Source organism: Homo sapiens, chromosome 20 (genome assembly GCF_000001405.40).
Source record: "Homo sapiens chromosome 20, GRCh38.p14 Primary Assembly".
Lineage (NCBI taxonomy): Eukaryota > Metazoa > Chordata > Mammalia > Primates > Hominidae > Homo > Homo sapiens.
The window spans coordinates 59,731,128-59,757,835 of record NC_000020.11 but is presented as its reverse complement, the minus strand read 5'-3'; the positions used below and the strand labels follow the sequence as shown (position 1 = coordinate 59,757,835).

Genomic DNA, 26,708 nt, shown 5'->3' with positions numbered 1-26,708 from the left:
CACACACTCAGCTAATTAAAACCAAAAACAAAAAACAAAACTTTTTTGTAGAGATGGCGTCATGCTATGCTGTCCAGGATGACTTTGAACTCCTAGGTTCAAGTGATTCTCCTGTCTTGGCTTCCCAAAGTGCTGGAATGATAGGTGTGACCCACCTCACCGGGCCCTGGATTGTTTTTAATCACTAAAGTTCCACCGACAAGAGCCCCACCCTTTCACCACCGACGCTGCTTTTGTGCTACCAGGGGGCAGAGGCGAGTGGCTGTGTCAGACACCTCCAGCCTGCAGAGCTCATGCTCTTTCCTCTCTGGCCCTTTACAGAAAACGTGTGTGTTCCTGTCCCCTGTCTTTGCATGTCATTCCCCTTTCTGGGATGCTCTGCACCTCGCTCTCTGCCCAGCTGATTCCCACTCCTCCCTCAGGCCTCACTCAGGAGAGGGTCCCTGATACAAATGTGTAATCTCAACAGACCCACTCTGCTCTCAGGAACCCATCCGCACACCCAGCATCTGGAGAGAGAGCGGGAGCGTGTCTGAGGTCAGAAGAGGGCACTGAGGGGAGCAGGCACAGGCCCTGAGCTGAGCTACAGAAATCACTGCCAAGGAGAAGCGTGACCCCCATCAAGGGCTGGGAGCAGCAGCCCTGCCTCCCTTGGGGAGGCTCACAGGCCACACACAAGGGCTGGGCTGTGGGGACCACACCACGGCAGGAAGGCCAGGCTCTGCTCAGCCTTAAGAACCATGCCAGCGGGTTGCATAAATATCTTCTTTTGAGAAGTGTCTGTTCATATCCTTCACCCACTTTGTGGTGGGGTTTTTTTCTTATCAATTTGTTTGAATTCTTCGTAGATTCTGGATATTAGCCCTTTGTCAGATGAGTAGATTGCAAAAATGTTCCCCCATTCTGTAGGTTGTCTGTTCACTCCAATGGGAGTTTCTTTTGCTGCAAAGAAGCTCTTTAGTTTAGATCCCATTTGTCAATTTTGGCTTTTGTTGCCATTGCTTGGTGGGGGGAGGGGGAGGGAAAGCATTAGGAGATATACCTAATGTAAATGACGAGTTAATGGGTGCAGCACACCAACGTGGCACATGTATACATATGTAACAAACCTGCACGTTGTGCACATGTACCCTAGAACTTAAAGTATTAAAAAAAAAAAGAACCACGCCAGCCCCAAAGTCAGATGCCTGGGGCACACAGAGACCTGTGTGTGTGGAGGGGGCCTCTGCGTGAGAGCTGGGACCCTCCAGAAGTCACAACTCTCAGACCCCAAATTCCAAGCCAAGTGAAACTGGAGAGACACGGCCACCCCCGAAGAGGGCTGAGCATGCCTCTGGGCAGGTGCCGCTAGCGCTGCAGGGGCGTTGTGGACGGGCGGCCTGCGAGTGTGTGGTGCCACCCTTGTGTGGCAGAAGGAAGTCCCGGGCACGGAGGACCAGGTGTCCACCCGCTCTGAAGCAGAAGCCCAGCAGGCTGTCCTGGGGCCTGGATTTCCAACCTCCCACACTCACGGAGAGACGCGTTCACCTTCCCACCCCCAAACCGTGTGAGACTCGCTTATAGCTTGAAATTTTACGAGACATCAGGATTCCAAGTCAACAGTGAAGCTCCGTAAGAATCACTCTGCCAGGTGGGCAGGAGGAGGAGGAGCTGGTGAAGCATCTGCAGGTGTCTGTGGCCAGTTCCTGCTTTCCTCCCCTCTATCCTTCCTCCCTTCTCCCCTATCCTTGGGAAGCGCCCTGGTCTATTCAATTAAAATAAAAACCACCACCACTACGCAAAGCCCCTACTGCCTTTGATAATAGTCACTCTACACGTCAGACACTGCTAAGTTCCTCCCACCCTCCAAACAACCCTGATGTAGGTCCATTACTTTTCCCATTTAACAGAGGGAAACTGAGGCTTGGAGCAAGGCACCAAGCCCACCTCCCCTCAAGAAGCAGCGGAAGAGCCCCACATAGGCTGCAGCATGCTGAGACTGCATCAGCACCGACCAGCTCCCAGGCATGCACACATGCAGGGACTTCAGCATCTCTTAGGCCAAGAGGCCCCCTGTGGCAGGATTTCGGCCACAGAAAAGTCCCTCAACCCTACCTCCTACCCTTTTAGGGTCACTAAAATCCCCCCACTGGGCACTTGCCCCTCCAGAGAGCACTTTCCTGCCTAGAAGTTCCCAGGGAAACACAAAGACGCCCTGGGAGGGGGGGTAGGTGTGCCAGGGAGATGAACATCGTTAAGTACCTTCACTTATCAGCCGTGCCAGACTTGGAAAGAGACAGTAGAGAAAAGTGCCCCAGCAAACACTTCAACCCAGCCAGGCAGCACAGCATGGCAGCGCTTAGAGCACGGGCCCAGCTCTCTGGAGAACAATGTTCTACGAGGGCTGTTGCCTAAGCTATAGCCAAGGACAACAGTGGGGACGTATGGCCATTCTAGGAGCAGCTCAACTTCGCGTGGTCTCCAGCCAGTACCTGCATCGTCCAAGTGGGCAGCTGAGGACAGTGGCTTGTCCAGGGAGACCTGGTCCGTCCCAGTGGCCAAGGGGCTTCCGGGCTGGGCATCTTCTGAAGTCAGCGTCTCCGACTTGGGAGTGGGTGGTTCACTCTGTACAGATCGGGGTCCTCCATCGGGGTTGCAAGTTTTGCTTTCAGCATCTACAAGGAAATGTAGCTGTCAGCTGGGCCTGCACCTCCCTTCCTTCATCCCTTCCGTCGTCCCAAGAGTCTTTCTGAGAAGTATCCATTCTAGGCTCTGGGTGGTCCCCCACCCCTCTCCCCCTCACCACACACCCTAGGAGTCCCTCTCCAAGTCTGGACTTTCCAGGGGAGCCCTGGGCACCTCAGCACACCCTAGCCTGGTTTCTGCTCTTACACTCCACTCCCTGTGTGCACTCTTCCTCCGACACCTGTGGGAGACTGCAGTGCCCCTGAGCCACGTCCACACCCACTGCCGTGCACCTTTGCAGTAGCCCCACTCTGACCCCGGCCTCTGCCCTGGAGCTTGCTTTGGTCGATGGGACACAGTGGGTATGATGCAGCACTGGCATGAGAAGTGCTTGCACATCCCTGCTCGTCCCTCCTGTTTCCCTGGACCTTTGTCCTGAAGACATGCCCAGCAGCTGGCTGGAGTCAGCAGACCCACGGGGCAGATCACAGGCCAACCCAGACAGGGGACAACAAACGGTGATTGCTGTAGGTCTCTGAGATGCAGGGGTTGTCATGGCTGCAGAGAACCAACTCACCTCTGCACCCACCGTTTGACCCTCAGCCAGGCATTAAACAGGTGTTTACTGATCACCGGCTACGTGTCTGGCACTGTAATAAACCCTGGCAAGGTGGAGGTTAGTAAGATACAGTCCTTGCCCCCAGGGGTCTCACACTCTGAGGAAGCCACGCAGATGACCACACATGGCACCGTGAGCCCAGGAACGGGGCACACCCATGGATGGAGGGGCCACAGAGCCGGGGGTCCCTAGGTCTGACAGGCAGCCTTCCCAGAAGAGGAGGCACTAGCAGGGCATAAGGAAGGACCTGGTGCTTTCCGTCTCTTGAAGCTCGGCTGCTGCAGCCTCTGAGGGTCTGGCCCTTCACTTGCCATCCCTGGGTTTGCACCTTAATGCTGAGGGGCTCAGCACTTGGAGAGCAAAATAAATGGCTCAGTTACCCAACTGCAGGATGGCAGGGCCCTCGGCCAGCAAGTCACAGTCACGTCACTGAGATGCACGTTACAGCCCCATGCACAAAGCCTCCACATAGCCCTGCAGGACTCCTCTCAATCTCTACAGCAGTTCCTGGAGGCCCGGTGCAGAGGGCAGTGTGACCTGCACATGTCGACACAGCCACGAGGTGGCCGTTTGGGGATGCTAGCCTACGCTGACCTCCTTCCACACACGTCCCATCCTGGCAGTGGAAGGAGGAGGCAACATTTACTTCAGGGTCAGGGTCCATAGGACCTGGTCAGTCCCGATTCCTACCTGCCATCCCTGTGTCCTTCAACAGTGTCCCTTTCACTCCTAAAAGTGTCCTGTTTGGACAAACAGTATACAGTCACCCCATCATGCGTCCCACCACCTGCAAACGGTGTTTTGTGCCCAAATAGCAAATTCCTCTGGATCTCAATTTCCTTATCTATAAAATGGGGATAATATTTCTGCTTGCTTCATGGCAACATAGTGAGAATTAACGGAGCTAGGGTATGGAATGTGTCTGGCATAAGGTAGGCACTTTACATGTGCTTTCTGTCATTGTTGTTGGTGATGGTTTCTGACAACGAGAAGAGGAGGGTGACAAGAGTGATCTGGCCCCTTGGTCTGCACCTTTGGGCCCATCTGCTAACAGCAGGCTTAGGACAGAACCGTTTCTCCCTCCAGAGTCCTCACCACACCCAGGACTCATGCCAGACCCATTTCCTGCCTGGGACCCTGGAAGAGATTTGAGCTTGTCATCGCTGCTGATCATATTCCCTCTGCCGCACACGTCTCCTCCGGGGAGAATGAAAAGGTCAGCCATGCCAGAAGTCTGGAGATTTAGGGCTGGACGATCTCATCCATGCAGCCGCGTCAGTTGCCCAGAGGTCCAGGCGAGGCTGGCAGGCTCTTCCCATAAGGCGCAGATGGCCATTGTGACGGGCTCTGTGGGCCACGTGCTGTATCCCCCGTGCTGCAACCCTTGATTTTTTTTTTTTAATTTTTATGAAAGTCTTTTCTATTTAAAAAGCATTCTTAGCTCAAAGACCACATAAAAACAGGTCCTGAGCCACATTTGACCCTTGGCTATAACAGCCCACCAACCCAGATACAAGCCAAGAGAGCTCACCGAGTAGACAAAATTAGAGGTCACAAAGCTGAAAACTGAAACCAGCCCCTTCTCGTGACCGACTTACTCGCATTTGACGTGCAACCGTGACAGCACAGCTTACCCAGCCCCTGGCAACACACAGGGAATGTGAGAGCTGGCGTAGGGGAGCACAGGGCTCTGCCAGCTTGAGCTTCACACCTACCCTATGTGACAGGCAAGGCTGCCACCCACCACTTGCAGTTATGGACACCAAACCTTAGAATGCACAGGTCTTTTGCTGCCATGACTGTCACTGCTGTTAATAATAAGGATGCCTCCATCGTCATCATCAAAATCATCACAACTGCCACTATAAAAAGGTCAGAACATAGAACCTGGAAGGCCCAGAGGTCTCCAGACTCAGAAAAGCACCATGCCCCTCCACAGTCTTTGAACCTTCCCCTGCTTTCTTGCAGGTTTTCTGCAAGGACTTCTTGCAGGACTTCTCTGGGCTGCGGTCAGAGCTCCAGCTCATAATCATGTTCAGTGAAAAGTTTCAGTTCCCAAAATAGCCCTGGTGGCAGGGCCGTTGCTAAGAAACGCTGGTTGGGGAGGGGTTGGGGGAGCGGTGGGAGCCCAGGCCCTGCTCCTCTCGCTGGAAGGCCAGCCTCCGCCCGGCCACTCTCCTTCTGAGGGCTGCAGAGGGGAGCGCGGGGCAGTGCACCTGAGCAGCCACAGTGAGAGGGAACGTGTTGCAGACATGCACACACACTCACAGATGCACACGCAGGCACACACGTGTGTCGTGGCACATGTGCACAGTGCAAGCACAGGTGGGTGCACACAGGTGCACGTGCATGTGTGTGCACACGTGCAGACATGTGTCCCCCGGCGTTCCTACCACATGGAAACCAGATAGACTTGATTTGTCACTGTCCAATTCCCTGAGGAAAGAATGCCTAGTCAATCTCAAGTCACTGAACACAGCACAGAGTAATAAACTCTCTTCTTTTATACCCAATGACGGGGTAGGAAATTCCTTAAATTATTTAAGAAAATGCCAAGTCAACGCATACAGGGAGATGGAGGAAAGTCATTCAGAACATAAACAGTGTCTAGCACAGAGAAACGTGGGCTGGGGACCAGGGCAAGGGGGCTGGGGAAGGGGACCCCTTGTACCAGAGATTTGGTCTGGCCTCACTTAGTCACGGATATCCGAGACGAGGGTGGAAGGAGCACTGAAGAGATCAGAGGGGTCCCCTCTGCCCTCCCCAGGGCACAACGGGCTCCACTGCACACATCTAGTCATGTAATAACGCCACCAGCAGGGTCCTTCCTAGGTCCAAGCTGGCGACTAGAGTCACAGGAACGAGAGGGGAGGGGGTCACAGTGGTTCATAAAACAGACCATCGATCATAAAGTAACACCCCAGAGGGAGCAAACTCATGCCCTGGATGCTGCCTCACCCCCGGGAGCTGGCGGGCTCTCTTCTGCTGGCCCTGCCCAGAGTCCGGCTCACTCCACCAGGCTGCCCACCTGCTTCAGGGCAAGCTCCAGGGTGTCCAATGTGTATGTACATGTGTGTGTGCATACATGCGCGTGTGCAGGGCAGAGGGCAATCCTGGGGTTTGTCCTGGCCAAGGAAGTTCAAATGTGAGTTTCGAGGGGGCTCAAATGAGGCTCTGGAGTCCCTGACAATCCACTCCCACAGCCTCACAGGGCCTGTCCTGCATGAAGTCCCGTCCACCTTGCAGGGAGGCTCATGAGCCTGGCCGGCCACAGGAGGGCGCCCCCGGCTGCAGATTCGTCCCTGCCAGCAGTGGAAGGCGGTGGCTGAAGCCGGTTCCTTAACCCTGAAGCCGGTTCCTTAACCCCAAAGCCAGGAAAGCGCCTCTGCTCCTCACCCTGGAGAGTCCTCACATCCACAGCAGAGGCGGCGGCACTGCGTGCCTACCCCAGAGCAACAGCCCTCAAGCCTGATCCTCCCCTGAGCCGGAGAGGGCAGGTGCACAGCCACCGCCAACAATTCCAGTCATCCTGCAAGAGGACCCGGTGACCCAGCACCAGGAGGATTAGGGACAGACAGGGTCTGACCTCAGGTCGACCCAGTGAGAAAAGACATTTTTGAAGCTAGTGCAGGACGGAAACTGCGGTGCAGGGAAGGATTTAGCCGGGAGCCTGTGGCCAAGCATCTGCGTGGATCCCGTTATTACAGCACGTTGATTACAGGTTGATTACAGGTGGCACACAGTAAAGGATTCAAGCAGCACAGAAGAGTCGACTGCGAAAAGCAAGTCCAAGTCCCCTCCCAGAGCAACCCCTGCTGCCCGGTCCCTGATATTTCCCTGCAGAGACACTCGGGCTCCTCGCAGATCCCACCCACTCGCACTGTGGCCGCCCCAGGCTCCCGCAGCAGCGTGGTCATGCCTCTGCCACCCCAGCCGGTGTGTGGGCAGGGAAGACGGGAGGCGTCTTGACCCAAGCCCCTCTCCCTTTCCTGCTTCCTCCTTCCTCCTTTCCTCCAACCCAACCCACCATCTCAAGGTCCCTTCCACCGCGGGGACTTGTGCTTGCTGCTCCTGTGGGCTGGAAGTCACTCCCCGCTTCCTTCTGTCTCTTGGCTTTTCAACCTTCCTGCATCAAAGTCGGAATCAGCTGTGGAGGATGAGGAAGCACTGCTGCCTGGGTCCCACGCCCAGCGCATCTAATTTAACTGCTGCCTGAGCGGTGGAGGGTTATTAAATCTCTCCAGGTGATCCTAATATGCAACAGACTCTGAGAACCAGCCTAGGTCCTCCTGCCCACCTTTGGACCTGACTCAAACATCTCCCGGCCCCCCGAGAACCAGGTCAGGTCCTGTCTCATGATCTTAGGGTGCTGCATCCTTCACTGCACTCACTGTGGTCGTGAGTTGCCGGCTTTTTGTGGGATTACCTAATGGCCCCACTGGATGTGCGTTCAGAACAGTATTTTGCTCACCTGTGTCCTCAGCAGCTAGCACAGACCCTGACACAGAGTGGGCCCTCAATAAAATGTCATGGCATCAATTTAGGAGTGCATTTTCCCTCTCAAGGAAAGAGACTGTGTTTCAGGCCACTCTAGTCCCTGGTCCACAATCATTTAGCAAGAGAGAGAGTATGGAAGGTAGAGATGAGCAAACCACAATGTGGGGACCAATCCAGCTCCCCCACCTGGATTTGACATCTTTAAATGGTTGACAAAAGAAAAAAAAATCAAAAGAAAAATAATAGTTTGTGGCACATGAAAATTATATAAAATTCAAAGGCCAGTGGCCATAAATAAAGTTTTCTTGGGACACAGCCATGCCCTCTCATGCATGTTTTGTCTCCGGCTGCCTTTGCGCTACAAAAGCAGAGACAAGTAGTTGCAACAGAGACTGCACGTCCCCCTGAAATATGCACTATCTGACCCTCTCCAGAAAAGGTTTGCCGACCCTGATCTAAAGTGATTCTGTAAGCCTGCGGGTGTGTGATGTCGCCGTCAGAGGCACGGAAGCCAGAGACCAGGCTCCCACGGCAGCAGGGTGAGAGCCACACTGTCAGCCTGGCCGCGGCCAAGCATTCGTCTCCAGCCTCTGCTATGACTTCATCAGACAAAGTCATCTTGCAAAAATTCAGAGTGGAAAAAAGCCAACGCTCCTAGAAGTTTTCCCCTTTAATTAGTCAAACTATAGCTTCATTTTTGAGAGGAACCAAATCTATATACTTACTCTTTACTCAACAAAAGTAGTGTTTTTTTTAGAATAGATGAGAAAAGGCCTTAGCATTGTTTTCATCTTCCTTTCTCCTTCCCTAAGATCCAAAGGTATGCTTGTTGGCAACATATTCAAAATGCCGGAGTTTGACACTTTTTTGTCCCATCCCAGTGAAAATCCTCCAGATTTCTAGCTCAGCAACCGCATTCCGCCAAATCCGAGCGTCACGACGGCGTTAACCATCTGAGTGCCACGGGACTTGACACCAAGCTTTCCTCGCACATGTAAGGTTTTATTATCACTATGAAGCAATTTCCCATGTAGATTTCCCCTAAAAATAGCATCATCAAAATACTTCACTCTTCGAGTCTAAAGAGAGGAAACAATGACAAAAGCCTGGGCCCACAATCGGGTTTGTGTGCTGACAGGCCCGGCTGCATAAAATCTGGATTCGTTTATTTCATGAGCTTCCTTCCTAATTCCTGATATTTGGGCCAAATTACAAAGACACTAGTAATATTTTAAGGCTGAAGTGGGGAGAGAGGAATTCAATATATCCATGCAAGCCTCAGGAAACTGGCTATGCATGGCCAGATTCCTCAAATCAGCAGGCCAGAGCTTGGTCCAGCTCCAGAGAGTCTTCCAGAGGCAGTGAGGTGTTGTGAAACCTCCTAACCAAGATTTAGCCTCTCAGGGAACCGGAAGGCACCAAGGGCTAGTGTCAGCATCTAAGTCCTGGGCCTCACACCTCCAGGAATCCATCACAAAGAGAAAGACTTGGGAATTAAAGAACTCTGTTCAGTTAATTGCATGAGTGATAATAACTGGCCTTTCTGAAAGATGGAAACAAAGATGATTATGTAGACCCCACTGAGATTAAGCTCTCTAGACCAGAGACCAAGAGATCAGGATTTGTTCTGTGTCTCTGCTCTCAGGCTGCAATGACTTGGGGCAGTCACCACCCAGACCCTCCCACGCCTCGTCTGCAAGTGGGATAGCCGCTGCCTCTCTCCCCAGGGATGCTGGGAAGACCAATGAGACAGGGCGTGCACAATATCCCACCCCGCCCCAGCATGTCCTGAATGCTTCCTACATGGTGGTAGGGGGAGTAGGTAATAGTGGAATTAAAAATAATTTGCCCAAATGGAGGACTGAAATGTGAATATGAAAAAAAAATTAATGCTGAAAAAACCACTGCTACCACTTTAAAGGAATTGGGATAAACCACCAGATTCATGCACACCCAGCTCTGTTAGACATTCCCCAGAGAGGAGTGGTGCCATGAGGGGGAGCTCTTCAGCTCAGTAATGGGGTCTCCCGTGCCCCTGGGGGCTGGACCAATGGAATGGCTCCTGACATGGGGTGTCTCTCCAACCTTGCAGGCTTCATCTGAACACGGCCCTCCTTGGATTCTACACTGTTTCTGATGGGCTTCCTGGGCTCATGTGAGACTTTCCATTCTGCATTCCCAGCACCGTGCCCTTCCAAGCCAGGGACGGGTCCCACTTACCCTGCTCCATCATCTCCAGCAGCCCCTTCTTGATGAGCTCCTCTCGGCCTTGCCTGCCGGCCATCTTCTTCTCCAGCGCTGCCCAACACACAAACACACAGGTGAGTCTCAGGCAAAGGTGTCACTGGGCCCTGTCCAAGCCACAGCCAATGCCAGGCTCAAGTTTACAGACCAAAAACACTGAGCTAGCAGGCGCCTCGGGGTTAGGGGGCCTAGTCCACTGGCGAGGCCCAACTTTCTTACCAAGAGTGCTGCTAAGCAATGTGCATAAACCACAGCTAAAGAGCAGTGCACGCAGTAGATATTCTACAGCGATCATTTCTGTGATTTATCTGGAAAGCCCCTGCACATATAACGCCCCTCTCTAAGCTAGCTCTCACCAGCCATTCCTGCCCTTCACCAAATGTTCCCTAAATTACCAACCAAGGAAAGTGCCCTCCCTCTGCCGCCAACACCCCGGGCTCCTTTCCGTGGTTCCTGTTCGCCTTTGCGAAGTGCCTCCTGGCCGCTCTTAACATCCACTCACAGATGAGATTCTCCTGTGCGGCTCTCCCACTAGAGCTTCTTCCAATAAACCCAGGTTAAAAGCTTCCAGTCTACCAGATGGACAGGAAGGGAGGAGGCCAGCCCCCAGTCCCCTTCCACCAAGCCTAATTTGCCAAATCTTTGTCAATTCCGCCTTCAGAATAGCCCTTTCTGCCTCCCCTTCCCGGAGCAAAACACTCTTGAGCGACGGCCACCACCTTGTCCCATTCTCCCTTCTTTCACAGGCAGGCCTCGGGCTGCTCCACAATCATCTTCTTCCTTCCGTCAGGAAAACTGTTTGCCTACAGGTGAGCCCCAATTTCCAAATACAAGACTACATAACCACCTCAACCCTTTCTTTGAAAGATGCAGCTTTGCAAGGGCTGTTTCCACTGCTGTGATGATTTCCCCGCCTTTCCCAATGAACCAATTACATCTCAGCTCAATGCAGCCTCCTCACCTGGGTCTTCTCCGACCACTGGGCCCAAAGCAGTGCCCGCCCTGCTCATTTCCACCCCAGGGCCTGCTCCGTGATCCTGCCATTAACCCTGGATCACAGAGAGTCCATCAGTGTTCTGTGTGTGCAGGGGGCCCTGCCAGCTGCCGGGGAACAGACAGAGTCAGCCCACCTGGCTTAGCTTAATGTCTAGTTGGGGAGGCAGATGACAAACAGGCACTGGCAATGGAATTATTTCACTTACTCAAAAGCATTTCCTGAGCACCTGCTATGTGCCAAGTGCTGAGCTGGGTGCTGGGGAGTCACGGAGGGCAGAAGCCCTGCAGCCTTCACAGGTGGGGCTCCACTGGGGGAACAGGCCATGGTGATCAGGTGTTCAATCTATGGAAACCCCTTACACATTTACTGAGCACCTACTGTGTGCCAGGCACCATGTCAGGCACAGGAGATTCTGCCATGAGCAAGACAGGCACAGCCTCTGCCTGATGCCAGCACAGGTGGGAGGACAGATGGCAAGTGTCTAGAAGTGGGCGAGGAGGAATAAGTCAGGCCTGGGGCGGGGGACTGACTGGGGGGCAGTTGTCTGGGGAAACCCATCCCATCCTTGACCTCCCGGGTGGCTTCCCTGAGGATATTTACCCTAAAGCCAAAGGATGAAAAGGGAAACCCAAACACAGCAGGGTGGGGACATTTTTGGGCAGAGAAAACAGAATTTCCTTTCTGTGGTCCCAATTTCCAAGCCAATTTCCAGGTGCCAGAATTGTGGATAAAATTGACAAAGTGAATGCTGACCTTGGGAGGTGTCAGCAAAGAGGCTGCAGCCAGGCTCACAAAGCAGATAAGAAGAACAGGGGTGGAGGCCTCGAGCTCTGTGTGGACCCCGTCCCCAGGCCGGCACCAGGCGGTGCTCATGGTGGCTAGCCTCAGACATCACAGGTCTTTGCCTGCACTGACTCAAGGACTTCCCGATGACCCAAAGATGCAGCTGCGAGGCTCTACCCTCCCCCTCTCGGGGATGGGGACGTCAGTGGTGGTGCAGCTTGTGAAGGTGGTACAGTGTGTAAATGGCTGAGTGGATCTGAGCCACCTGCCAGGGCAGGCATGGACTGAGATGCTGGTCCACCCTGCAGCCCCTGAGAGCCATCTTCAGCCGGTTCCCCCAGCCTCGCCTACCAAAACCACTGTTTGCTACATATTTCTCTTTCAATCATCTTTGCATTCACTTCAACTCATCCTAACCCGTGATGCCCGTGAAATCAGGAATTTGATATGCTGAAACAAATAACACCCCCTGCTTTAAAGGAAAATAGTGGTTTGGAATAAGTAAACAAAATGCAGCACTGTTCCTCGAATTTCCAGATGCCCGAATGGCGGTCCTGAAGGTGGGGATGCTGCAGGTAAAAACCTCGAGACCTCCAATGCCCTTGCAGGGTCCCCAGAGCATCTTGCTGGTGAACTCACACGGCACAGCTTGGAGTAGGCCAAAGAGCCCAGAGTCCTCAGAAGACAAACCTCAGCCTTCCAGTTCCACTGCTGGGGTCAGCAGGCCTGGAGAATGTCAGAGACCCCCCTGAGGTCACGGAGGTCACTCTGCTCTAGTCCCCCGGCCTTTCACTGCTGCACAGACGTGCCTTCCCCAGCTCGCTGCCTTTTCGAGGGCTGTTCCCACTGCTGCCATGCTCTTCCCTGCCTTTCTCAATGAACCAATTACATCTCAGCTCAATGCAGCCTCCTCACCTGGGTCTTCTCGGACCACTGGGCCCAAAGCAGTGCCCGCCCTGCTCATTTCCACCCCCCAGGGCCTGCTCCGTGATCCTGCCATTAAGCCTGGATCACTAAGAGCCCATTAGTGCCGTGTGTGTGCAAGGGGCCCTGCCAGATGCAGGGGAACAAATGGAACCCGCCCACCTAGCTGAGCCTAGCATCCAGTGAGGGAGGCTGCCTTGCAGCCTCGCCGGAGTCTGCAATCGACTCACGTGCTGGTTCACTTGGTGGCTTCCACACTTTGTCACTCGACTCCCTACTCTGCGGAAAGCTCTGGGTGGGCAGGGCCTGGGCCCCTCCTGTTGGTACTGGGCACACAGGAGGTGCTCAAGATCTGCCGAATGATGATGCTTGTTCTGTTTCCACTTCAACAAGAATTCATCTATCAACTTCTTGGTTGGTAAAAATAATAATAATAATTTTGTAAAGCACACAGAAAAGCATGAGTGGAGGGCCTGCTGTCGGTGTTGGCCGCCTCCCCTGCTGTGGGCCTGGGCGCTGTAACACCTGGCCTTCGTCTCCACCATCCTCAAAGCCCTGGAGCCTGCGCCTCTTCAGAGCTGGAAAGGAAATGGGACCCCAGGGACCCCCCGAGGCAACAGCCTGAGACGGGCACTCGCCAGGGCTGGTTCCTGAGGCCTGGGACTGATTCCACAGCAGCAGCTCCCTCACTAATTGTTTTTAGGTGTGGCTCACAGGCATGTGGCTGGAGGCGGGGCCCTGGGGTGGAGATGCGGCCTCCTCCGGGCTCTCTTCTCAGAACACTGCCATCTGCAGAGCCCAGGCTGACGAGCCACCACACCCGGCTGCCAGGGTCCAAGCCTCAGCCCCGCCACCTGCTGGCTGTGTGACCCTGGGTGAGTGATTTCCCTTTCTGGGCCTGTTCCCCATCCCTTCCGATGGGGCAGGATCCTGCGGGAGTGCTGGCCTAGCAGGAGGTTCTGAGGGTTGAGTTGGCTCCTCCATGCCAAATGCTGGGGGGCCGTGTTCTGCCGTTATGTGCCTTACGGCTGCTTGTCCCGTCATCACTGCCTGTGTCCACCCTGTCTGTGGTTCAGCCTCATGGCTGCAGTTCCCAAGCTGGATTCCGAGGAGGCGGGGGCAACGGGACCAGCCATCGCAATCCCGCTTCCCACAGAGCCAGGGCTGGCAGGGTGTGAGGGGGCAGCAGGAGGTGAGTGGAGGAACCTTCTGGATGCTTTGGTGGGAGGGTGTAGGGAAGGCACACTGAGACAGCTTAGGAGCAGGGGAGCAGCCTCTGTCTTTCAGGAAGAAGAGAGGCCCAGAGGTGTCAAAGCCAAACCGACGGCCTCAACCCTGAGTCACCCAGGAGGCTCTTGGCCAACTAAACCTGCATCTGTGGGGGTACGACCCAGGCCCCAGCATCCTCCAAGTGAGATTGCAGGTGTGGGAGGTGAGGTGGTGCGGGAGTCGCGTGGGCTGGGGGCTCACCACCCAGGTGAAGCCAGCAAGTGAGACCTTGCTCCAAAGCCAGTGTCTCGGCCCAACCCAGCCCTAAGTAAATCAGAGGCTTCGTTTTTAACAAGGTCCCAGTGGACTTGTGGGCACCTTAGGGTCTGGGCAGAGCGTCCCACATGGGGTGCCTGGTGCCAACTCCACCCCAGGGCTTCAGGGAGGCCAGGTGGGCCCTGGAGGGGCCAGCGGGGTAACTTGCATGGCTCCTGGCCATCACAGGCCATGAAGCACATCTGCCCCTCCTGTGTAGGGGCCAGGAAGTCACAGATCAGCAGGGGCCGCAGCACCATGCCAAGGACGCTGGTCCCAGCCACAGCCTGCCCGCGCCTGTCACCAGGCCTTTACCTGACGTTGTCTGCTTCAGTTTTTCGTTTTTCTTTTTCCTCCATTTCCAGGGTTTGAAGATCCTGCCCAGGGTGGCCAGTTTGCTGTTCCTCCTCACAGGGGGAGTTCGAATCCCTGAGACCAGATATTCAGGACGCGCCGGGGGCGTTTGGTCCATCTCATCTGGAAGACGAAAACCAAGGGGGTCCTCAAGTGGCCACCAAACCTATGTGACTCCTGGGGGCCCAAGGTGATGACCTCTCACCCTAAGGGGTCACCAGTGATCCCCCCAAAGCCTGGACCCCAGGATGGTTGTCCAGCAGTGCACCCACAGTGGCCGCAGCAGCTCAGCAGCGTGCGCTGAATTTCCCTCTGTGAGACCCTCCCTCCTGCGACCCACTCACGGCCACCAGAAGCCTTCGCCTTCCGCCATATGACGCGCCACGTGTGAAGATGTTCCTAATTCCAGCATGAAACGCTGCCTGCCCAGGACCCTTGCTCGTGCTCTGCCCTCCACCCACGCTGCTCTCCCTCCCAGCCGCTTCTCTGCCTCATAAACTTCAGCTCCTCCATTGAATAGGACTTTGTCCAGAGTCTTTACCTTCCTCTTGTCCCAGACAGGGTCACTCCCTTGTCTTACGCCCATGAAGCTACCTATGCAGGCACCAATGAGCCGCAAAGACCTCTGCCTGCCTGCCCTCCCACCAGGCTGCCACCTCTTCTAGGGTAGAGCCCAGGCCTGGGGCAGCCTTGGAACCCAACGCAGAGCCAGGCCGGTGAGAATTCTGAGCAAACGGCTGCAGAGTGAGCACGTCTGTGAGCACGTCTGTGAGCAGGCAGAGGAAGCAGTGCTCCTGGACCCCTTCCTTGTCCATGAAACGGCCATGTTTGTAGACTCTGGGACACGTGAAGATGAACGTCCTAGGAAGCTCATGGCAGTGCTGTTTGTTGTAAAAGAGACTCATACCGACCTACATACCCGTCCACAGGGGGACTGGGTAAGTCATCGTCTGTCCTGTCAACCACCTGTGTGCAGATGCAGAAAGAAAGAAAGTGGATCTCCAAGCACGGACAGGAAACTGATCTGAGATAATCAGGCCAAAGAAAACCCCAGCGCACAAATTCACACGCACACGCCACCAGTGTGCGAACAGGGGTGGTATACAGGCACACACTGGTGTGTGGAGAGAAAATGTCTGTGGGCCCTCCAAAGAAATGGGGAACCCCGGGGCTGGGCACAGTGGCTTACGCCTATAATCCCAGCACTTTGGGAGGCCCAGGCAGGCAGATCACAAGGTCAGGAGTTCGAGACCAGCCTGACCGACATGGTGAAATCCCGTCTCTACTAAAAATACAAAAATTAGCTGAGTGTGGTGGCGGGTACCTGTAATCCCAGCTACTCAGGAGGCTGAGACAGGATAATTGTTTCAACCCGGGAGGCAAAGGTTGCAGTGAGCCAAGATCACACCATTGTACTCCAGCCTGGGTGACAGGGTGAGACTCTGTCTCAAAAAAAGAAGAAAAAAAAAAAAAAAGAAAGAAAGAAATGGGGAGCCCTGGCTGTTGGCAGGCGGGGGAGAGAGGGAGATGTGCTTCACAGGCTGTTTTTGTAGCACAAGCCGTGTGTCCCTTAGTAGGAAAGATTAGTTAGAATGAAACAAAATGCAACTAACAAAATGGTAAAGTTAGAGAAGCTCACAAAGTAAGCCAGCGTCACCTCCATCCTAGGGTCACAGTGTAGAGCAGAGTTCAGGCCGTCACCCAGGCAGGACTGAGAATAGATGAGCACATTGCCCCAGATGCCTCCTGGGACAGGGAAGGGACGTTTCTTCTGGCAGCAACAAGGACCTGAGTCCCAACCAGGCTCCGATTTAACCTCCCAGTGTCGCTGGGGGAGGAAGATCGCAGACCCGTGGGGTGCTCCCCAGCACGGCTGCTACCACAGGAGCCCAGACCTCTGCCAGGACCCCTCGCCCTGCGAACATACACACTCCCCGACAGCTGGCTCAGCCTCCCATGGTCAGCGCGTGGTCAGTTCCACAGCCAGCAGGTGAATTTGCCTTGTTACCTGTGGAAGGGGCTGGGAGCCCTAAGCTGATGCAGACCTCAGAGCCCCAGGAAGCATGGACATGCAGGGAGAAGGGCTGGACGGTGTGGCTAACACAAGGGCTCACCTGAGGAAGGAGGTCACCTTTGTCAGAGAGGACAGGGAAGGAGACCACCAGTGTTCGAGGGGAAGGGGCATTACCAGTGTCCAAGGGGCCGGGGATTATGATGGGCCAGGCCCCTCAGACCCAGGGAAGGGGTCACACTCCCGCATTTCCCACCTAAGGCACCCATGCATGCCACTGGCTGCCCCAAGGAGGCCCAGGACGGCCTGCTCTGAATCTGGGCTCTGCAGAGCTCAGCCTGAGAAGAGCCATATGAGGCAGCACCCGAGGGCCCAAGGCCCCACATGGCAGTGACCTCTGTGCCCCCAGTGACAGGCGGCCTGCCTGGCAGCCTCTAGAGCTTCCACGGGGTCTGGCTTCCAAAGGGCTGCACCTGTCTCTAACCCAGGGCCTTTGAGTAAGCCACCCGGCCCCTTGGAGCCTCGGTTTCCACATCTGTTGATAAAAAAAAAAGATGCCATGATAATCATCCCTGATAGGTAAGGTTGAGGGGAGGACTCAGTGTGGTCATAAATTCTGGGAAGGCCAGTACAGTGGCTCATGCCTGTAATCGTAATGCTTTGGGATGCCAAGGCTAGAGGATCCCTTGATCCCAAGAGTTTGAGACCAGCCTGGGTAACACAGAGACTCCACCTCTACAAAAAAATTTTTGGAAATTCCCCAGGCATGGTGGTGCATGCTACTTAAGAGTCGGAGACAGGAGGATCACTTGAGCCTAGGAGGTCAAGACTGCAGTGAGCTATGATTTGCACCTGTACTCCAGCCTGGGCTACAGAGAGAGAGACCCTGTCTCTAAAAAAAAATTAAAATGAAAAACAATCTGAAAACAAAGATAAACATCCACAATACACAGTTTATTAATAGTTCATGTTATCATCCATGTAAAATAATATTATCTATATGTCTAGACTTTATCATCACTCTGATTAACATACCATGCCAGTGCAGGTAACTTTTGGTCAAAATTTATATTATAATAATTTCTATGATATGAGCAATAGAATAATGATGATGGAGTAAACGCTGGTCACTGCCTGTGCAGGGCCAGGACTATCCTAAGGCATTGTCCTATTTTACCTTCACAATAAATCTATGAGCTAGAGATCATTCCATTTTATATCCATTTTACAGATGAACAAACTGAAGATCAGAGCCCTGAGCCATTTTTTTGTTGGTCTCAGAGCTGGGAAATGCTGTGGCAGGGCAGGACCTTGAGCACCCTGACTCCAGAGGCCCCTCTCACCTTCCAAAGCTGCATCGAGGGGACCCAAAGCAGAACACAGAAGGATGGGACACCAAGACAAGAGGATAAACCAGGCCCACCCTAGGTGGGTTGGGGCATGAGGTCATTCTCTCCAGGCATTACTAATAGAGTGCTGATATGGTTAGGCTTTGTGTCCCCACCCAAATCTCATCTTGAATTATAATCCCCATAATCTCCATGTGTCAAGAGAAAGACCAGGTGGAGGTGATTGGATCAGGGAGGTGGTTTCCCCCATGCTGTCCGCATGATATTGAGTGAGTTCTCTTGAGATCTGTTGGTTTTATAAGGGAGGCTCCTCCCCCTTCGCCCTGCACTTCTCCTTCCTGCTGCCTTGTGAAGAAGGTGCCTTGCTTCCCCTTCACCTTCTGCCATGATTGTAAGTTTTCTGAGGCTTCCCCAACCATGCTAAACTTTGAGCCAATTAAACTTCTTTCTTTTATAAATCATGCAGTCTTGGGCAGTTCTTTTTTGTTTTATCGGGGGCACTTTGTAGCAGTATGAAAACGGACTAATACAAGTGTTAACTGTGCTAGGTGCTGTGTCCACAGATGCTCCACAAAGCAGCCCCATGGGGAAAGACAAGCCCAGGAATGTCTTGTTTGACATTCTGGGCTCTGCAAACCATTAAGGGAGCTACAGCAATGGCATCCTCCACTGTGTTTTTGAGGCGACCCCAGCACCTAGTGCCTGGTACCCAGTGGGAGCCCAGGAAATGTGTGGAACCAGGGCAGCTGCAGAACACCAATTAACCACAGATCCTCCCGGCCACCCTCTCCCCAAGGCCACGGGAGGCAGAGGGATGTACAGGGATCCTTCTCTTCTCAGAGACAATGCATTCCATGTTCTCATCCTCTCCTTTCCTTCCTCCACCTACAGACACCAGATGGGAGCAAGACTGTGACTCCACATGGCCCTGGGAAAGCCTGCTGTCCTGAGCATGCTTTGCACGAGGGGAAGGATGGGCTAGGTCTCCCCAAGCCTCCAAGCTCAGCTGAAGATGAAGACGAAGATCTCCAGGGATGAGCAGAGGAGACGAGGATGGAGCATAATCATTGCTTTATTTATATCTCACCTCCTTCACAAAGGATCGGCAGCAATCACCAGAAACACACATACACAGCTGAAGGATGAAGGGAGTGTCAGGAAGGATCTGGAGGAATCAGGGTCTGCTGAGGGCCACAGCATCAAGGAGTTAGGTGGGTCCCCACGACAGACACCACACGGGCTCCAGAGGAGGGTATTTGTGTGCCCTGAGCTTCCTAGCAGCCAAGGCAAAACGGAGTAGCACACAGAATAAACTACAGATCAGACCCTGAACCCAACTTTCTTTGCCACCTGCATCATAACAACCCTGGTCCAGTACCAGCATCCCTGCCCCAGCAACTGGTCTTCCTGTGATCCGATGTCTTAGAAATAGAGCTCTAACCCTATCACTTCCTGCTCGCTTCCCTTCTCATTTAGGACAAAATCCAAGTTAATCACTAAACTTGTGCAGCTCTCTGTGCTCTGCTGCTCCCTCCCCCTTATTATCATCCTTATTGTGCATTAGTGCTTGCCATGTGCCATGGAAGCCAGTGTGACGTAGCTGTGAAGAACATGGGGGCTGGGACCAGGCACCCCAGGCTCCCCTCCTGGCCCTGCCACTTACTAACAGGAGGTTGAAGCATTGACTCCCTGCATCCCCTTTGCCAGGGCCTTGCTGGGGGGTATGGTGTCTCCTTCTTGCTGTGGCTATGTGACTGCTTCCACTGGTGGAAGGTGGGCAGGAGGGGCAGTGGCGCCTCCCCCTCCCTACCACCATCACTGCCAGGACCACCGTCACTACCTGCACTATTTTAATCAGCTGCCTCCCCCCACTTCTGCCCTAGTGGCTGGAGCAGGTTCTGGGGTTCCCACCCCGTCTCTGACACACAGTGGTCCTCACAGCAGAGCTGAGGGCTGGCGAGGGAGCACTTTGGCCACTGAGGAGACTGCACTCCTCTCTCCCTTTAAGAATTCACTCACTCACTCACTCACTCACTCCACCTTTCAACAAATACGTACTGACACCAACCATGTGCCATGTATCCTAATAGGCACAGGGTGTGCAGAGGTGAACAAAAGAGACGATGCCTGCCTTTGTGGGGCTGTACTCACCTGCAGGAGATGAACAATGAATAAAGGTATGAATTTAGACAGTCCTGGCTCACCCCATGTGGGATGGCACTCCTCACTATTTCTTGCCTTCCTCTTTATTTTTCTCATCACAGGTATCAGCTGGTGTGCATGCACACACACGCACACACACATGCACACAGAGACACACACATGCACATGCACGCACACACATACACGCACACATGCACGCACACAGACACACACACACGCACATGCACGCACACACTCATTTGTTTACCTGTTTGTAGTTGTCTCCACTCCTCCTGCCCATGCCCCGAGCTGAAGCTCCTGACTGCAGGCCCTTGATGGATGTTTGCAGCTGTATCTCCAGTGCCAGCAACAGCTCAGGCACGTGCCAGGGGGACATAGAGAGCCCTGAACCAGGATCCCCACAGACGCGAGGAAGGACAGGACCCAGGGCCTCCTCAGGGAGCCTCGAGGGCAGGTGTCGACTGACCGACTGTGACAGGGTCAGCACTGGGTGCTCCAGAGGGCCGCCCCAGTGGGGAACAGGACAGGGGCTATGATGGGAAAGGGGCAGGCTGTCCAAGACAGGAGGAAACAGTGGTTGAGAGGCGTGGATGTGCTGGGGAGGCAGGCAGGGTCGTAGTCAGGGACTTGAACCTGATTCAGAATTCAGCAGGGAGCCACTAGAGGGTCTTCAGCTCAAAAGACCCTTTGCTCCTAAACCAAAAATCCAATGCATTGACCAGGACAGATGCCTTAGTCTAAGCAGCTCCTCAAGGGGCTCAACTGTCATCAGAGGAGTGAAGACCCCATGCCCAGGGGCCCCAGGCTGTGCTGCTCTGCATCCCCCTTGGGAGGAAATTCCCTCTCCCCTCTGCCTTCCCTGGGGTGGCTCAAGCCCAGGACTGTGCCAGGGGAGGGCTTGTGAGAGCTATGACTCTCCGCCCAAGAAGAGAAACTTCAAAATAGTGCTGCTCAGAGAAAACTACTTACAAACCCCTCCAAGGGCAGAGGACATGAGCCCATCACTGCAGGTGTACAGCGGGGCAGGTGTGGTCATCCACGGCACGGTGTGGCCTGCGGATGCTGGTGGGCAGGTGTGCACAGAGTGGGTAGGTGTGTATCTCTGAGGGTGGGTGGGTGAGCAACTGCAGAGCCAGCATGCATGGGCATGGGTGGGTGTGCACCTACACGGGTGGGCGGGTGAGCACCTGCGGAGCCAGTGTGCATGGGCGTGGGTGGGTGTGCACCTGCATGGGTGGGATGCCATCTGTGGGCGGGTGCATGTGGCCCATGCACACCTGTCCACAGAGGGAAGGGACAGATGGGAGCACCTCCCCCCACTCCAGGAATTCTCTCCCCGTCTCTCCCTGCAGTTCCTGAGGAACTGCCTTCTCACACTGGAGAGACTCTGGAAGGTGCAAACACATTAGCAGCCACCCCCCAGCCTCTGAATAACAGTAGTGCCAGGTTCCACTGCACCTCTGCCACCTCTGAGGCATTAGAGGTTAATTAATGGGAAATGTCTGTCACACCTGGCATCTGTGTGAGGAAGTGCTACACACAGCCTCAGTCCTCAGATGATGGATGGGGCAGCTGGCCCTCCCCTGCTGATGTCACATGCTTGCAACTCAAGGGACAAGCTCCAGCCTCTTTGGCAACTCCAGCCAGCCCTCTCCCAGGCCTCTCTCAGGCTCACAGTAGCTGGTATACTTGTCCCTGGGTAACTAACTCCATCCCTTTCCCCCATCAACAGCCACACAGAGCTATGAGGCAAGAACTGTTCTAGGACTGACGGAACACTGACCTCATGGAGCTTACAGGCTAATTTCCATGCCTGGTGCAGGGCCAATCCCTTTATTCACATTTCCTTCCATCCTAGCTCTGATTACTCTCAGATTGTGCCCTGGGATTCACTATTTATTGACTGTCATCTGCATTTCCCATGAGAACAAACATAAGCTCCATGACAATGAGAACCGTCACTCTCGTGCTTGTTGCTGGGTCTCGCATCTTTGCTGGTTCCTGGCACCCAGGGGCTGCCCAAATAAACACCTGCTCGACCCTGTGAATCCGGAGTGCAGGGCTGCCAAACGCTGGAGCCAGGGTCTGTTCCTCGTCCATCTGACTTTGATGTCCACCCTTTAGTGACATCAGGTATTTTTTCATCCTCATCTTTCATCCACTAAGATATCTTATCTTATCCTTCCACTTCACGAAATTCCCCAAAAACATATTGGAAGGAAAGCCCCATATCTCTGGGGGAGTGAGGTCAGGTACTCAGTGCCATGTGCTACATGGCTGATTTCTTAGAGAAGAAAGGTGCCATCTCTATCAGATAATATTGCAAAATAATTTTTTCCTTGTTTGTTTTATTCATTCACTCACAAACCCATTCATCATATCGGCTGAGGGCCTGCTGTGTGTCAGGACTGCTCTGAGTTTTGACAGAGCAGTAAATTCCATCAACATGCCTGCAGTTTCCCGCTGCATGAAGCTCATGTATTTATGGAGGAGAAAAGAAGGAACACAGAAAGTGTAAGGCAACCTCATAATGTGACATGAGCCACAATAGAAGCAAATAAGAAGCTGAGATATGACCTCTATTTCTTCTTTGAGTCCTTACCTGTAACACCAATACGTGGAGACCATTGTCTTTGAACAAAGCACAGTGTTAGGCCTGAGGGACAAAGTGGTGCTAGGTACCCTCTCTCCCGGGGGACTCAGTGACCACTGAGAAAACTAAGGTACCTGGAACCACCAGGAAGAATCAAGAAAGAGGATTATAATAGCAGAGGAAGCAACTTTTCCTGCTTGAGGGTGGGATAACTCTAAGAAGGCTACTAGAAGCTAGGGGAGGTAGTAGGTAGTGATAATTGAGTTGGGTATTAGAGGTTGAGTAGGATTTTAGTAAAACGTGCAAATTCATAAATGCATGGCAGTACATGGTGTTTGGGGAATGGGGAGTCATTTGGGGAAGCTAGGTCTGAGGTCCCCAGTCTCTAAGGCTCAGAAACCCAGTAAAATTTCCACATATAAAATTGGGATCCACACAGATATGCTAATGTTCATTATGGCAGTAATGGCCAACACACACACACACTACACAAAGCAATCATCTATGTTCATCACAACTTAGTACACATAATAGAAAAAATATAGTCTCAGAAAAAAACAAACAAACAGAATTTTTAGGCCTGGGCTCAGTGGCTTGGGAAGCCAATGCAGGAGGGCTGCTTGAGGGCATGAGTTCAAGCCCAGCCTGGGCAACGTAGTGAGACCCTGTCTCTACAAAAACGAAGGAAAAAAAAATTAGCTCGGTGTGGTTATGCACACCTGTAGTCCCAGCAACTCAGGAGGCTGAGGCAGGAGGATTGCTTGAGCTCAGGAATTCCAGGTTACAGTGAATTGCACCACTGTGCTCCAGCCTGGGCAACAGAGCAAGACCCTGTCTCTTAAAAAAATTAATTGATTCTACATTCGTAAATGAAAACCCAACTGCATTGCTCTTAGTGTTCTTAATTTGCTGGTGTGGGTCTGTGCACTGGAACTTGAGGACCCTTAGGCTGGAGCTTATGGTCTATGGAACAGAGTTGACATAGGTGAGCTTAGGAAGGCGTGTGGGGACCTGACCAAGAAGAGCTGTGTGGCTGTGATAAGAGTCCTGGGGACAATGTGGAGTCATTGAGGGACCTGGAGCAAGTTCAGCCTTGTGAGAAGACCACGTGGAATCTCGGTGAGGATGGCAGACTGTAGGGGGAACAAGGCTGAAGGCAGGAAGGCAGAGGATGGGGGCACTCACACATATGGAAGAGCCAAGGAATACGAAGGTTTGTTTTTGTCATCACTGTCATCAGCAACGGAAGCATCTACTGAGCATTTGCTGTGCAACAGGCTCAGTGCTGAGCACCTGGCATGAATTTGCTCATTGTATTCCATCAAGACCCTAGCAAGCGAAGAACTATTTTCATCACCTACATTACAGATGAGGACAATGGAGGCACACAGATGTGAAATAATTACCCCAGGGCACATGCTAGTTAGCGACAGAGTGGAGCTTAGAACTCAGGTCATCTGCTGTAAAAGCCCTGATCTTAACCCCACAGCCTCTTTGACAACTCCGCCCCTCTCCCAGTCCTGTGCTAGATGACACAGAGCAGATGATAACACTGCTGTCTAAGATCTGGGAGGAGGAAGGAGAAATAGGGCTGGGAGGAGGAAGAAGTTAACCTTTAAAGCAACATACAATAACCTCACACGGAAGCACTGAGCACTGAAAATCCAATTGCCTGTGGCCAGGCTGCAAGAGATGTGGCTTGACAGCCATCTACAGAAAAAGTGCTGGGCATTTTCAGAGAGTGACCACCAGAATGGAGCTGAACCTCCAAAATCAAGTTTTAGAAATAGATTTCAATCTCCCAAATGTAAAAGTTCTTGGTTTGACCTCCTCCACCCCTAGAAAATTCCTAAGTAATGACTGAAGAGCATGATATTTTGGGTGTGCTGATCAATAAAAACAAAACAAGGGTCATACCATCCAAGGACAAAGTGAGACCATTTGACAAGTGTCTTATAGTCACACTGCTTATAATGGAGGAATAAACTGCTTGCTGGTGTTGGGTGGAGGGCAGGGAGGGATGCAAAAAAAAAAAAAAAAAGGAGTGAATTTATTCAAAAAAGGGAAGAAAATACTGCTAAATGCCTATGGCTCTATTCCTAAAAGCTTATAGGCTTTTTTCTACAGCCCTGCAAGTTCATTCATCAAAATCTGTAATCTGATTATAGCCCTTGTTTGATGGACTAACTGCTGACTTTTCCAGTATAGGGGAAACAGAGACCTCAACAACTGCACAATGCAATTCCTAGACTTAGGGTCCGCTTCCTCCTCCGGCACCTAGCACAGTGCCTGGCAGGTGGGTTGAATAAATGAGTGAGCGAGTGAATAAATGAATGAGTGGATTGATCCCATGATACAAAAATGGAAGCAGAATCAAATGCAGGGCAATGGTTTTTAACAATGGCCTGGAGCTGTCCCACTGACTCCCGACAGTGGAAGGTAACTGCAATTCCCGAGCCACCTCTAGACCTCATGTTGGCCATGGCTTCTTCTGGCTGCCCCCTCAGCAGCCCTTAACTCAAAGGGCATCTCCTTTCTCTCCTTTACTGGTTAGTGGAGGTGCTAAGAAGCACAGAGAAGAAAAGACAAAAGCCTGGCTAAGCTTCAGAGTGAATAATTGGCCCCTGGAAAATTGTGAATTGAATAAATACTTAATTTTAGGAGAACTTATATTTTAATGCCCAAAGGGAGGCCACCAAAACCTTCTGCATGTTCATTCCAGGCAAACAACCCTAACAGGCAGGGCCTATATTTTCAGCTCCATTTTACATTTAAAAAGTAGAGGCTCAGAGCACGAAAGCACTCGTTCAAGGTCACACAGCTGGTAAATGGCAGGTCTGCCGCAGCCTCTCTGCTCTTCAGTTTACCATCTAGGCATGACACCGGTGTTTCCCAAAGTGTTTTCCATGGAACTCTAGCATAGGGAGATGCTGAGAGGATTAAAGTAGTTAGAAAATGCTGTCTGTACTAAAACCCTCTTCATGAGAGCCCCAGTGCATATTAGCATAGTATAGGCTCTGAGAAGTTCTGCAGGAAGAAATCGTATTCAGTTGTTTAGCTAGATTTTCCTAAACAGACCTATCAGACAACCGCTATTTACACCTTGCTGCCTAGACTGCAATAACCCCACAAAAGCTGTCAAATAGTTTGAGCAATAAACCCAGGACTAAGAACTTTGAATGTATTCCTGACAAATAGTGTTAATAATTTATTTTTGGACTATAAAAGTCTTTTATCCACTATCTGTATTCCAAAGATAACAAGATTCTCTAAGATCTAGGCAGAAGTTGGGCCTCAAAATTTCCCAAGTCATTAAGCTTCTTCTAGCTGTCTAAGGCACCCTGCACGCAATGATGCTGAAATTAAGACTACATAAATGGGCATCATTGATGACTCTGACACCAGTGGAAAAATCAAGACATTATTAAAGTGGCTTCTTTTCTTTCTCATATGTATTGTGGAAAAAACAGCACATCTAACTAGAAAGCCCATCTGTTTAGTATCAACCCTATAGTACTGCCAATGGTCGCTGGTGCCTGCCAGACATATGGTCAGTTTTCCAAGTGAAATTCAGCTCAAATCTGTAAATCAAGTGGATCTGAAAATGCTCTATAGAATTTGGCAGCACAAATTCAAACATGAAGAGGATGAGGAAGGAGAAAGGTGGAATCTGGAAAATTGGCTTTGTTGTTGTCATCATTGTGATGATTTTTTTGTATGTGGCTTAGTAGGATGCATCTGCATTTGCAAAGAACAAACTCTTATAAAAATTATTGTACAAGAGGCCCACCTATATCTTTGCAAAGGCTAAAAGCTGCTTTTACAAACTTCTTCCCTGAGATTATATTTTACAGAAAAGGAGGAAAATGAGCATTTCAGAGAAAGGACAAAAAGTGAAATAACACATCAGGAGACTTTAGTATTGTAGTAGAAATTTAGAGAAATAATATCACACAACATCTTCAAAGTCTGAGTTCCAACCCTGA

The 26,708-nt window shown here is 52.3% G+C and overlaps 1 protein-coding gene across 13 annotated transcripts in view, besides 3 other annotated features; it reads right to left on the bottom strand.

The window, feature by feature from the left end:
• PHACTR3 (phosphatase and actin regulator 3) overlaps window positions 1–26,708 on the bottom strand; it is a 270,203-nt gene that overhangs the window by 89,876 nt on the left and 153,619 nt on the right. For all 13 annotated transcript variants that reach the window (NM_001199505.1, XM_017027628.2, XM_017027626.3 and 10 more), the window contains exons 2-4: window positions 14,568–14,729; window positions 10,001–10,078; window positions 2,472–2,654 (exon numbers count right to left, since the gene is read on the bottom strand). In NM_001199505.1, coding sequence (NP_001186434.1) covers window positions 2,472–2,654; window positions 10,001–10,078; window positions 14,568–14,729 — 423 coding nt within the window. The remainder of the gene's footprint in view (window positions 1–2,471; window positions 2,655–10,000; window positions 10,079–14,567; window positions 14,730–26,708) is intronic.
• Window positions 5,179–5,508: an enhancer, noted in NCBI's record as "active region_18191". NCBI's record gives its function as "activates an Ori minimal core promoter by ATAC-STARR-seq in GM12878 lymphoblastoid cells {active_cell/tissue: GM12878}" and the evidence as "EXISTENCE:reporter gene assay evidence [ECO:0000049][PMID:35858748]".
• Window positions 6,731–7,232: an enhancer, noted in NCBI's record as "H3K4me1 hESC enhancer chr20:58325659-58326160 (GRCh37/hg19 assembly coordinates)". NCBI's record gives its function as "activates a minimal SCP1, AML or CMV promoter by ChIP-STARR-seq in naive H9 embryonic stem cells {active_cell/tissue: H9 hESC(naive)}" and the evidence as "EXISTENCE:reporter gene assay evidence [ECO:0000049][PMID:30033119]".
• Window positions 13,577–13,646: an enhancer, noted in NCBI's record as "active region_18190". NCBI's record gives its function as "activates an Ori minimal core promoter by ATAC-STARR-seq in GM12878 lymphoblastoid cells {active_cell/tissue: GM12878}" and the evidence as "EXISTENCE:reporter gene assay evidence [ECO:0000049][PMID:35858748]".